The sequence below is a fragment of the Homo sapiens genome, chromosome 2 (genome assembly GCF_000001405.40).
Source record: "Homo sapiens chromosome 2, GRCh38.p14 Primary Assembly".
NCBI lineage: Eukaryota > Metazoa > Chordata > Mammalia > Primates > Hominidae > Homo > Homo sapiens.
Genome location: NC_000002.12, coordinates 132,848,374 through 132,861,414, shown reverse-complemented (window position 1 = coordinate 132,861,414; position 13,041 = coordinate 132,848,374). Strand labels below are relative to the sequence as shown.

The 13,041-nt window shown below is 40.1% G+C and overlaps 1 protein-coding gene across 20 annotated transcripts in view, besides 1 other annotated feature; it reads left to right on the top strand.

Annotated features, from left to right (window-relative positions):
• NCKAP5 (NCK associated protein 5) overlaps positions 1 to 13,041 on the top strand; it is a 1,003,049-nt gene that overhangs the window by 813,422 nt on the left and 176,586 nt on the right. For all 20 annotated transcript variants that reach the window (XM_017003975.3, XM_011511100.4, XM_047444134.1 and 17 more), the window contains one exon: positions 804 to 923. In XM_017003975.3, the coding sequence (XP_016859464.1) occupies positions 804 to 923 (120 nt within the window). The remainder of the gene's footprint in view (positions 1 to 803; positions 924 to 13,041) is intronic.
• Positions 1,485 to 1,779: an enhancer, noted in NCBI's record as "tiled region #3189; HepG2 Activating DNase matched - State 8:EnhW". NCBI's record gives its function as "activates a minimal TATA promoter and a strong SV40 promoter by Sharpr-MPRA in HepG2 cells {active_cell/tissue: HepG2}" and the evidence as "EXISTENCE:reporter gene assay evidence [ECO:0000049][PMID:27701403]".

The window sequence follows — 13,041 nt, the reverse complement described above, 5'->3', positions numbered from 1 at the left end:
GCGTCTGCCTTGAATTCCATCAAAAAGGGCATAGATATTTAAGTACCGCAAGTTCCTTTATTGCAGTCAGTTTGGAAGGCAGTTCTAGTACATCAGCTTCCTCCATGAGCTGGGGAAAAGGTCTCTGTGGTGTTTGAACTATTCAAAAGAGCTGCTCCAAACAGATGCCAGAATGGGCTAAGTGTGCTTCTTACCCAGCACTGAGACCAGAAAGCCCCAGAAGGTATGGAAATCCATGAGTTCAGAGGATGGGCAAGTGGCAAGTGGCCTTTTAAAAGCCATCTCTTCGGAGCTATTTCTCTCCCGCTAAATGCATCACTGACTCTATTAGCCCCATCACCGAGAATTTCAACTTGTTTTCACAAATGACAATGAAAAACTCCATCAGAAATGATAGTTTCTTTAGCTCATCAAATCTCTATTCCCTGCAGAAACACTGTTGTTGTCCTTGTGGTTTGTGCTCTATGATTGCTTTTATAAAGACAGTGAAAAGGCAAAATATATAGGCGGAAACTTAAATTGACTTCATATCGCTAAGATTTACTGTCTTCAAAAATAGCATGCTAGATTAATGCATTTCTGATTTCAAGGTGCTTTTTTAAAAAAAATTGGTCTTCTTTGCACATAATAATTCTATCAGACAATGGTCTGTGGACGAAAACGTATGTGATTTACTTCTGGGGGCTTTGAAGAATAAAAATACCGTTTTTTACTAATGATCTGAGATATATAAAATATGGTTATAATATGCAAAGACATCTTTCAGTTATGGACTTTTTCCTCCTTCGATGTGTTTGTTGTAGGATCTAAGAGAGGAATGTGTGAAGTTGAAAACAAGAGTGTTTGATTTGGAACAGCAGAATCGAACACTAAGCATCCTATTCCAACAGCGAGTCAGACCCACTTCTGATCTGCTCCTCCAGGTATGTGTTTATCTGGAAAACAATCTTTGCTACTGAAATGCTATTGACAGGAAGTTACTTAAGTTCAGAAGTTAGCAACATCTTCATGAGCAAGGCATATTGCATCAGAATCCCAATTCTTTCCTTTCTCAAGTTATGTCATTAAATTTGAAGGTGTCTGAAGTTCTTGACTTTTTAAAGCTACATGCAGATAAGGAAATGCACTAACAAATAATAAACAGGCAAAAGGGACAATCAGAAGATGTTCTGTAGTAAACTAAATGGAACCATGGAAAGGAGTTAGGAAATAATTGATTGCTTTGGGGACCAGCATTAGTAATCTTGCATACTGTGATAATCAAGGAAGAATTTTATGTAGTGCCAAAGCACATTTTTTTTATTTCAAACTCTTTATGATCAAAAATACATGTGGGGTTTGTTTTTCTTTTATATCTCTCTCTATGCAGAGTTCCTTCTTATAACAGAACGTCTCCTGTTTCTATCTCAGTATTTTTACAGGTTGTCTTTTTCTAAGTGCTCTCACTGAACTATTTTTTTTTACTTGCCTTCATAACATGGAAAGCTGTGGAAAGTCAAGCCATTTGAGTCGATTTGAAGCTGTTCCTGACAAAGCACTAGAGAATATGTCCCACTGCAGGGAAACATATGAATGGGGAGAGGGGTCTGCAGGGCTGACCTTTGCTGTTTCCGATCTTTGTGATCCTATTAATGTGTATATTTGCTTAAACAAGCTCCCATGAGCTTTGCCCCCAAGCCCTTCTGAGGCTAAGCTGTCAAAGACTGCATCGAGGTTTCACAGGGGCAGTGTGCAATGTGCAAAGGGCGGCCCACCACTGCGTGGTCTAATTGGCTGAGAGGAAGGTCCTTGTCCATCCTGTGGTCATCTGGATGATACTGTCCAGCACTATAACCACTAGCCATGTAGGGCTATTTAAATTTTAATTTTAAAAATTTAAATTAAATTAAAATTAAGTTTCTATGTCCAACTAGCCACATTTCCAGTCATCAAAAGCCACATGTGGCCAGGGACTACCTTAGTAGACAGCACACGTGGACAACATTATCATCATTGTGGAAAGCTCTGCTGGACGGTATTTTTCCAAATGATCCAGACTGTGTTGCTAATTTACCCTCTGAATTTTGGAATAAAAATCTTAGGACTCCTCAGAGAAATAACGGGAAATTGTAATTCATTTCAGAGAAAGAAAGATGTTCGGTAAGCTGAACATCAAAATGTAATTTGCCCCCCAAATTAAAATAAAACAGCTCTCTGAATTATAAAATAGATCTCATCTCCTAAATTAATTTCCTCTCTGCCTTATATGTTTGAACATAATTCATAATTTATGACTCAAAAATTTTGTGGGGTGGGAGCGAAGTCATCTATCTCTATTCTGTTTTCTGTTCCTGACCACCGTAAATATTTGTCATAGGGGATCTTGCATTTATAAAAAATTGTGTTTCTTTTGCAATCTCATCATCAAGATTCAATATTAGAATTACTTTTAAAAGCTGTTGCATGTTCCTGATTTTTTTTCTGTTCTGCCTGTTGTAACTTGAGGCCTTTCTGAAGTAGTGTTTAAGACTCTACAGTCCCTGTTTATGAATTGTGATCATTTATTTGCATGGTAAACACACGTGCTATGGGTATATAAGCATTTTCATTGGCTGTCACAAATTTCTTAAATTCATACTCAGAGATCAGGGGATGATGTGTATGCTAACAATAGACATCAGTGTTTATTCATTAGGTGTTTTCAGCCAACACACTTCATATTTCTCCCCAAATAGTACTCCCTCCAGGAGCCATTCTAATTTAAATAATATTTATAAAAGATGGGCTGTTAATAGTTCTGTGAAGAATAATGATATAAAGTGTGATACCTGCCCTCTTAACATCTTGGAGCTCATAATCCAAGACAGAGGACATGACTGGCTTTTCAGATGGTGTGTTAATTATTTCACTCATGGCTTTTCATTTTCTGATAGTACTTTAGGGTTTGAGAAACAAAATATATACAGTGGAGCTAAAATACAATCATTCCAAACTTGCTTTACACCTATGGATGCTCAGTCATTATGCGTTGAGTGGAATAATGAACAAATAATAATTCATTGTTCTGGAGAGTTATTTTGCATAAACTTAAGAGAGGTTTGTGCTCCCACCTCTTTTGAAGTTTTCCTGTCTTACATGAATGTTGAGGCACTACACAGTCATGTGTTCCAGCCCAGTATGTCTGAGGATGTGGTGGGTGGGGGCAGCAAATCCACCAGTGTGTCCCTGGTTCCAAATATTATTGACCCTATAGCTGCTGCCCATGGTCTTTGGATTCATTATAGCAGATTTCTAAGTAGTTTTTTTGCACTTCTTAGAAGGCTGCATTAGTTATTATTTGTTGAATACAGCCTAATGATTCTCTATATTCCAAAGTTGCTACCTGAAAAGAAATACAGAAAGAAGAGTTATGAACACATTGTGATTTAGGTAGACAAATTATAAATAGTATAAAGGAAAATAACTTATAAGAAACAGCCAATTCTTTGTCCCTTAAAAATACAGAATAAGAGGTTATATGGATATCATTTAGCAAATTCTTATGTGGGAGAGACAGAAAGGGAGTGCTCTGAGGATTAGTTGACAGATTCTGGTAAACTTACAAAGGGAGCCAGGTCCATGATGGAAATAAGAAAGGCCTAAGCTGAAATTAAAATCTTAAGATTGACAACAAACTTCTCTATTGATTTCATTTTCTAGAATGATATCTCTGGGACTATGGGTGGCAATAAATCAGATTAACAAGACCCCCCTCCATATTAAAATCAACATTGGAACTAAATTCCAAGGAATTGAGATGGCGGGATAGCAAACAAAATCCAAAAGTAATGTTCTTACAGAGACTGGAATCTCCTAACTAAGCTCATTTGAACCTACTTGTCTGGATTCACTGATGCTCAGCATTCCCCCTTTCAAATCACACTGAACAATGCCCTCAACTTAATGAATGTTGGCAGCTAGTAAAGAGCTCTCTACCATGTACACTTATTTGTCTTACCAGTTGAGCTGAATACTTGCCAAGAATGAGTTATTTTTGTAACTTAGTAGGTCTGCTAAAGTAGTATTTGTGATCACATTAAATATAGTTGTCTAACTATAAAAATAAATTGTGGGAGACCAGAAATTGTATTAAATGTGGAACAATTCTGCATGCAAACTGCTCCTCAAATGCCTTTAAGTTCCTGTACCATTGTTAAGGAAAACAAAAATTAGGAATCATAGACAATGTATAAAGTGTGTGTTGATGCCAAATTAAAAAAAAAAAGATAATGGAAGATTCCAACAAAAAGATCTCTAAGCAAAGAAGCAGCCTTGGCCCTACCAAAAATGTCACTTACCAAATACATAGTAGTGCTTACCATGTGTCAGACTCTATTCTACAAACTTTACAGCACTCACCAATTTCATCTTTATCACAGTCCCATGGGGTAGGACCTATCATTGCACCCGTTTTACCAATGGGGATACTTTGGCATAGACAGGCTAAGTCCTGTAGCAGGTATTTGACAGACCAAGGATTTAAACCTGAAAATCTGTTGAAATTAAGTCCCCCCTTTCGCCTCCAATTGGTGCTCCCTCTGCGTGGAACATAAATGAGTAAGAGGACAAATTTTCTGATTCCCTATTCTAGGTGACATTTGAATTAACTGGCTCACCTAGGATTGAGTCAGATCAGAGGGCTTCTGCAGTACAATCCCAATAAGGAGCCTACCATCTTTACACATTTCTGAAATGCGGCATCTAAGATTTTCCCCTTCCTATGTGTTCTGTCTTTTACTTGTTTGGGATACCTGTGTAACCATTATCCTGATGGGACATTATTCTCGTATTCTTAGATTAAGACAATGTTTTCTTTTCTTTTTCATCTGATATTTCAAAAAGTCCTACTACTGATATCCTTAGGCCAAGTTAGGAAGAAAAGAATTTTATAGGGTAGATGATTCACATCAACAGTGGAGGATCTGACAGCTTAGAACCAAGGTGCAAAAATTTGCTGTTACTTCTTAGAATGCGGACTTTTTGTTTTTGCTAGTGTTTTATATCATTATTTCCAGTAAGATGAGAGGGCTTTTACATTCTACTTGTTCCGCTTTTTTTTTCTCTTAGTCTTTATTTTCAGTGTAAATCTATCCATGAGTCTGATCTGGCAAGACACTGCACACTTTCCTTTCCACCTGTCCACAAGCCAAGCATCCCACTGTGAGATCCAGCTGTGAAATAAAGGAAAATAACATATAAGAAACAGCTGTCCCAGCAAGGGGCCAGCCAGGGCCTCAGCAGTCCTCAGTGAACTTTCCCCATACTGGAGTTCATGTAGTATCAGTGGTCTATGCAAGCTTTGCCTCCCGGGTTCACGCCATTCTCCTGCCTCAGCCTCCCGAGTAGCTGGGACTACAGGCGCCCGCCACCATGCCTGGCTAATTTTTTGTATTTTTAGTAGAGATGGGGTTTCACTGTGTTAGCCAGGATGGTCTTGATCTCCTGACCTTGTGATCCACCTGCCTCAGCCCCCTAAAGTGCTGGGATTACAGTCATAAGCCATTGCACCCAACCATTATACACTTTTAAATGTATGTATTTTGCTTTTTCAAAACATCTGCCTTTGGGGTTCTTTCACATATATGTAGTTGAAGTGAGACAAAAAGATGAAAAGAAAAAAGACTAGTTAAGCAGGTAGCCTGTGGTGAGAGCAATAAGGGAGGGGTAGGTGAGTGAGTAAAGAAGAAGGTAAAGAATGGAACTGTGGTTCTTGAGTTTCTGTGATGGAAGCTTTTCATTCTGATCGATTCTGGCCTCTCTTGAGACACAAACTAAGAAGGAGTTGGGAGAAGAGGCAAGAACATCCACACAAGTTTGAAGCATCTACCTGGCTTCCCACGCTGTTGGGATATAAGTTCACCTTATGAGTTTCTGGAATGGATGAACTCTGCCCCTTGGCTGTTTGTGTGGACCAGCCATGGAGGCGCCTCCAGTCCTGCCCTACAAACCTGATATCTAATTTAGAAACACCCACAGGGTGACAGGAGGAGCAGCCAGTGATGCTTCAGGGATGCTGAGTAACACCAGGGCTCAGATGGCAGAGTATCCACTGGTGGTGAGCCTGTCATCCTGCATGGTTACAGGACATTGGTGGTTTCATTATGGGCACTGGCCAGACATGAAAACATATGGAGAATGTGCAGCAGGTATTCTGTGTCATGCACTAAGCACTGGAAAGGATATTAACCTGCCAGACGTGCAGAAAGTGGCCCCTTTGAGAGGTAAGGGACACTTTGAAAAATCACACAGTTCCTGCAGAGCAAGGCTTTCGATGATGAGATGTAACACGTGAGGTTGGTTTGGGATCAAGTAAGAGCTATACAAAAGACAAGAAAGAATCATCAGGGTTATGGCAAGATGTGATTTTTCCCTCTTCATAATATGCCCAAGACCCTCTATAGACTTGCTTCACACTTCAACAGCCTCATTTTTCTTTTTTTCCTGACACAAATTCTTTACTTCAGCCAAGCAGAAATACTTTCACTCCACAGAGCATGACATAGGTTTTCCTTCAACTGTTCCACTTTGTATGTCATTTTTCTGTTCAAAATGCTACTCTACTCCTGCCCACCCCACCCCTGCCACTCCTCTTCATTCGATTACCAAATTGGGAGCACCCAAAGTAATGTCAGTGCTGAGGAGTCCATGGCAAAATGCATTTGCTCAAGGGCCTGTGGTCTACAATTAAGCCTGAAAGGGAAATGATGTTCTAAAAGGCATGTGGGAAGCTATAGCAGCTGAGCAGAGACAGGCGTGGGGCAAGTGGAATCCTAGCTCCGCTTGCAGAGGGCCCTGGGGAAGGCCCAGCAGAGGAAGCCATGCCTCCATGTGACTCCAGGTGGACAAGAGAAAGTATAAATGCCATCCAGAAAGAATACACTGTGCAAAGGCATGAGAAATTCTCTTCCTCACAATCTGGTTTCTAAATTCATATGCTTTGGAGGTACTCCTGGAATAAGATCACAACTCCCTGCCCCACTCAATCTCCTACTCACACCTTGCTCACTAAGTCCTGGCAGCATTGATATGTTACTTTGTAAGTATGCTACAATTCTTTTTGCATACCTTTGCTCTTCATTCCCAAAGCAATTGAGGGGTGTGTTTTTTTTCTTTGAACAAGACCCAGAGCTTACCAGTCCATGCATCATGACTAAATGTTGTGTTCCCATCAGCTTATAGTCAGCATTATCACGTAAGGTGTATGTGGTCTGTTATAAGGAAATCAAGGTAGGATTCCTACTCTTTTCTTGCTTGATTTGGCCTTTATTTTCTTAGGGACAAAAACCTTGTTTTGACCTTTGAATCCTCCTAGTACACAACTGGAATACACGTGAGCCTCAATAAATGCTGAGTGAACTAAGGATTACGTGAAACCAGGCAAATGGAAATGCTTGTAACAGAGGTACAGGGAGGTGGTTTCACAAATGAAGTGGCTCCAAGGGAGGGAAGAGCAGAAGGGAGTGAGAGCAGTGCTTAGGGTGCTGTGTATTTAAAGTGAAGAAGGCAAGCTTTGAAATATTATGTTTAGATGGGTCAGGATAATTAGGGGAAATTATCTCTCCTTTTAAATGAGTTTCAGGTGTTTTGTTGTTATTTGTTTTGTTTTATTTCTTCCTGTGGCCAGTGAGACTGCAGACATAGGTTCTGTCTTGGAATTGTTGGCTCCGTAAGCTGTAGAGATTGTATTATATGAATGTGCCTTTGGTCAGGGGGACTGATGTTTCCATATTGTTTCATGGGTTTTTATCTCCCCATTCTACTCCCTCTTAAATTTTAAGTAACTTAATGGAAGGCACCTAAATTTCTATTCTTCATATCCTCCTAAAATTAGATATATGTATTAATTGTATTAATAGGTATTAATTGCTTTCAAGAGCACATGGCTGACTTCCCATCATATGTGTCAATCTGTATTACTATGTGGCTGGCTTTACATAAACCATCCTCTCACCAAAACAATGAAAACTCTCATGCTCGGAGATCAGATGCCTTAAGGGGCTAAGCCAGGTGAAGGAAGCAGGAAAGGAAGTTGTGTGCCCTGCAGCCAGCCCCAGCCAGTTAGGCCCCATGGAAATGCTAGCTAGATGTCGCCATAGCTTTGAAAATTGTAAGAAGCTAGAAATGCAGACTTTTGCATGTAGTCTCTCAAATTTTAAATGTTGGCTAACACCTAGTTCAGCTATTTAATGACACTGAGGAAACCCAATAAGGCAACCATGGACCAGAATTGGCCTGCAACCTGCTTTTCTTTCTCTGCCCTGAAAGTGGTGGCAGTTTAATTTAAAACTTGGTGCATGTGCTCAGAACACCTGGGCACTATGCTGCACAATCATATTCATGGGACAGCCAGAATATATTGCTTTATTCATTATTTCAACAAAAATTCATTGAGCACTATGTCCTTGGTAGTGTACTAGCTCCTGAGGACACAGAGATAGTTTAGACACAGTTTCAGACTTAAAAAGGTCATCATTTAATAAGGAGATAGATAATATAAACAAACAGTTGTGCAGTAGAGTAGTAAATGCAACAGAAACATATACCATCCAAGGTCCTCAGAGGAAAAAGTGACAAACACTATTCTGGGTGTCAGGAAAGCCTTCTAGGGTGTGGTCACAGCTAACCTTGACTTTGAAGAATAAATAGGAGTTTGCTAGGGTAACAGTTTCCAAAAAGCAATTTGTGAACTAAATTCAGGACTAATACTGGGATTTATATTTACATTGATCCCAGGTCCTGGATTTAATTATAGCTGTAAGACTATAAAATTGTCTTACCCTGATTCGGCCTTGTTTGGCCTTCCCAACCTCTTGCAACAATACCAGATTAACTCATCCAGCTCTGTAGGAAAACAATAACCTCCAGGAGTGTCATGCTGGCTGAAATTTCTGTCACTGTGACCTTCAACAACACTTCTTTCTAGCTTTTTAACTGAAGAAGGATATAGTTAAACTGGATTAAGAAGTCTAATGGAAAAGTGAAGAGCCCTCTGTGTCTAAAGTTTGTTTTAAGGATTTCAACATTGAATAGAGGTTCAAACCCTGAACATAAATCAACATTATATTGCAGTAGACTAAGTGATTGAAGTGTAAATTCACAAAATGCACCCTGTAGCATGAAACATTCAGGCGATATATATTTTTATCATATTTCAAACACATAAGAAAACCTGATTATCCTGAATTTAGTAAATTTTGTGCAGTAAATGTCTATCATAGTAACCTAAAAACTCCCCTAGTAAAAATTGTTATTAAGCACTACATTTTCATTCTGAGTTTTGGATAAATAGAAGGATTTGGAAATGCAAGGGACAGAAAGTACTGAGAAAGGAATGGTGATGCTTACCTGGGGATTTGATTATGCAGATTAGAGTATTAATTTCTTGGCGCTGGAAATCATGGACTGTCCATTGCTATCAGCAGATGTCACACTAGGGAAATCTTATTCCCGGCACGAAAAGATTAAGTAACCTAAACTCTGACATGAAAGACTAGTGTTTCCAGAAATGAAAAGCAATTCTGGCTTTGTTCTGTCACCTCTCTTACCACGAGGGTGCACTGGTCTAAGAGCTGCCCTGAAACACTTGGGAGCAGCTTTCTGGAACTGGCCAGTGATTTGCAATCTGACGCAGCTCTTCAGGAGACTTGGGAACAAATCTTTAACCTGTCGGGCTGCAGGAAGGAAGGATGTCTTTGAAGTCCTGAATCTTGGCTGCATGGGTCAAGGAAGGGAGGGGAGGGTAGATACCAACGAGGCAAATAGACGCATCCAGGGTCTCTTAGCAAAACCAGAACAGGCTGAGCCTCCTTGGGAAGAGAACTGCAGGAAGGCCACTGAAGCCCCGTGCAGCCCGGGATGGCCAGACCCTAGAGGCAAGCGGGGTTAACCTTCAGTTGTGCCTGGCCTGCTGCAGCTGCTCAGAAATACACTGGGACTGGGCTCACAGTAGCCCCCAGTGTGATCAGGGGGATGAAGATAAAGATTCTCAGGGCAAGATACTCTCATATCCTAATGCCACTGGTTTATAGCTTACACCTGGCTGCACTAGAACAGTTGGGCCAGATTCAAAGGCAAAAAGACACACCCCACTTCCATCTACTACCTCATATACAAGCACACACAAGCTCAGGTCAAGTTTTCAAAAATCCTAATAGAAATCTCCAGACAGATGAGATGATAGTGCACTTTTGTGAAACTTGAGAGACCGAGGAAATGTTACCAAGTCTCCTGTTCATAAAACCATCTTCATGCAATAGCTTTCTAGCAAACTTTTCCGCCTTTAAAGCAGTTTGTATGTCTTACCTGGGTCAGTTTCTGTCAATCACTGTCGGCCTAACATCTCAAAATCAAGAACAGAAAAAAAAATGCTTGAAAAAAAATGCTTTTCTGAAAAATTTGGAAGGCCATTCACCTGCAAGGAGTCTCACTGGAATGACGGACATTGCCCTGTATGTCACAGACCCTGATAGGAAGCCGATGCCACTGTGACTCACTGGTGACCGGAGAAAGGCCACACAAACATGTCACCACTGCCTCCAGCCATACTCTGTGGTTGATAAATCTCTGCCCTTTCCTACCTCAGAAGTAGGAAAGCAGAAGGATCAGCAGAGTTTCTGTAAAATAACATAATTAAAAGGAGCCTGAGAATCTTTGCAAGAGTGTCTCATTAGGAGAAGTAGTCCCTGCAGTTCTAGCAGGTTAACATGTGCTGTACTAAGGTAGCAAAGTGTTTCTATGAAACTGGGTTGGCTGAAGGCCAGTGTGGTCAAATATGCCATTTCCCAAACAGATACCTTGTAGTTACATTGATAAAGCTTTGAGATTGTTCTATACCTTTTTAGCAAGCAGAAGGCATCTCACTGCATCTTTACAATAGGCCCAGGGTATTAGTGCTGTTTTACAAACAGGGAGATGAGCCCCTAGAGGCTGCGGCTTCTTCTTAGCCAGGGTTCTCTCCGGTCCAAAGCTTCCTGCCTTAAATTACCCACTGCCCGCTTAGGCCCTCACTTCCAAATGTCACTTCATGACTTTTCCCAGGCCTACATAAGGAAAGGATATTGCAGTGGTGTTCAATGAATCAGCCAATTAAAAGACATTTAATGGTCTGTTTGGACTTGACAATGTGCTACACCTTGGAAAAATCAAATTCAATACATTTGGGTGGTGTCCAAATAATCAGAGTTATAGACAACACTGTTGTGGGCATAATAGATATTTCCCTGAATAAGGACATGGATCTAATAACCTAGTAACATGATCAAATCATTTGCCCTAGAAACATGTTTATGCCAAGGAATAATAGAATCATATATTATTATATCTCAACTTTCAAGATCATATAATCTACCCCCCTCCCTGGTTATTGGACACTCAGATTGATACTTGCCTTTTGCAAGGTTGCACATTCTGTTTAGAGAAGAGTAGCGGCTCGATTCCAGGAGTCCTGATTATCAGCATTGTACCCTTTCTACTACGCCATGGGGGTAATAAATTGGAAATGTACCCGAATTAAGGAATAGAAAGAGCTTGGCATGAGAAATGTGCCCTCAGTCTAACGAGCAGCTTTGGGAAATGGTTCAGATGGAGTGGACTGACTAAATCATTGAACTCCAAGGAGGCATGTCGGGTGGACCAAAGAGGTAGGAGAGAAGTGAAAGGCCACTAAGATCCACGCAGGCTGAGATTCACATCCCCTCTGCACCACATGCTGACTAGGTGACCTCGGGCCATTCTTGAAATGTCTAGTACCTTAATGTTAGAAGCTAACAAATGCAGAAGTTCTTTCCTTTCTCGTCTTGTGAGATTTGTGACCTGCATCTCTGTGGCAGGGGAACAGGGAGGTGCAACAAATGATCTGTTTGCTCAGCACTGATTTCTGAGAAACTGTGGTCTGAGTGAATGAGATATTGGCCCAAAAATATACTGTATTAAATCAGTTTCTATTTTCTATTATTGACTTGTTGGATTTTCCTGGGAATTTGTATTTCTGGGGATTCTCTAGGGATATTTAGCTCTAAGTAGATCCTTATGGGCTTTTAACCAAGTGACTCAGAGTGAATGTTTCAGCAAGAATAGTGTCTGAGATAAGCAGGAGTTGGAAATGCCCTGGATTAAGCTATCTATTTAATCTTGTGGTTAACTTTCAAAAAGAGGGGGAGCCATGGCTGGATCACAGAATCCTTTGAGTATCTGAGAAAGACAGTAGGTTTTCTCCCTATATACAGAGAGAAATTAGCTTGTAACTTCAAGATATTCAGGGACCCTGCGAAGCCTGTCTATTAATTAAGAAATTAATCCCTTAATTACAAAATCCCAAATTAAAATTTAATCCACGATGATCATCTGCATCATAACTGCCCTTTTACCCTTTATTCATTCACATTGCATCGGACACTTTCTATTTCATATTGTTTCTTTGCTTCAGGCCTGTTTTTAAATCTTTACCAAGTATGACAGATCCTGAATACCCATCTTTGTAAATTCAAAGTGCAAATCTTTAAAAAAAACAGTTGTTTTTAGCTTTTTCTGTTCACTTTTTAAGTTTTATTTTATTGTATCTTTTGGAGACAAGGTCTCACTATGTTGCCCAGGCTGGAGTGCAGCAACTATTCAAAGGTGTGATCATACCACACCACAGACTCAAACTCCTAGGCTCAAGTGACCCTTCTGCCTCAGCTTCCTGAGTAGCTGGGACTACAGACATGCACACCACGCACAGCAGGCTTTTCCTTTTTATGATTGCTTTTCCCTCCCAAATAGCTAACTAGTGAATGGAAGAGGATAAGAATCATGTCTTCAAAATCATATTTTATAATAGATATATTTATGTTGTGAAGAAATCAGAATTTCAAAATAGAACACATTATACACTTTCGGACATGAGATGCATACAGATGTGTTCCAATAAGCCTTGCTCATATTTCATTGTTACATTTGACATTGTTCAAGACAGGCATTGAGATCCTTGAATTAACGTAAAGATCTCATAATGATATGAGTGCAAAAAGCCGTTATCATTAATGT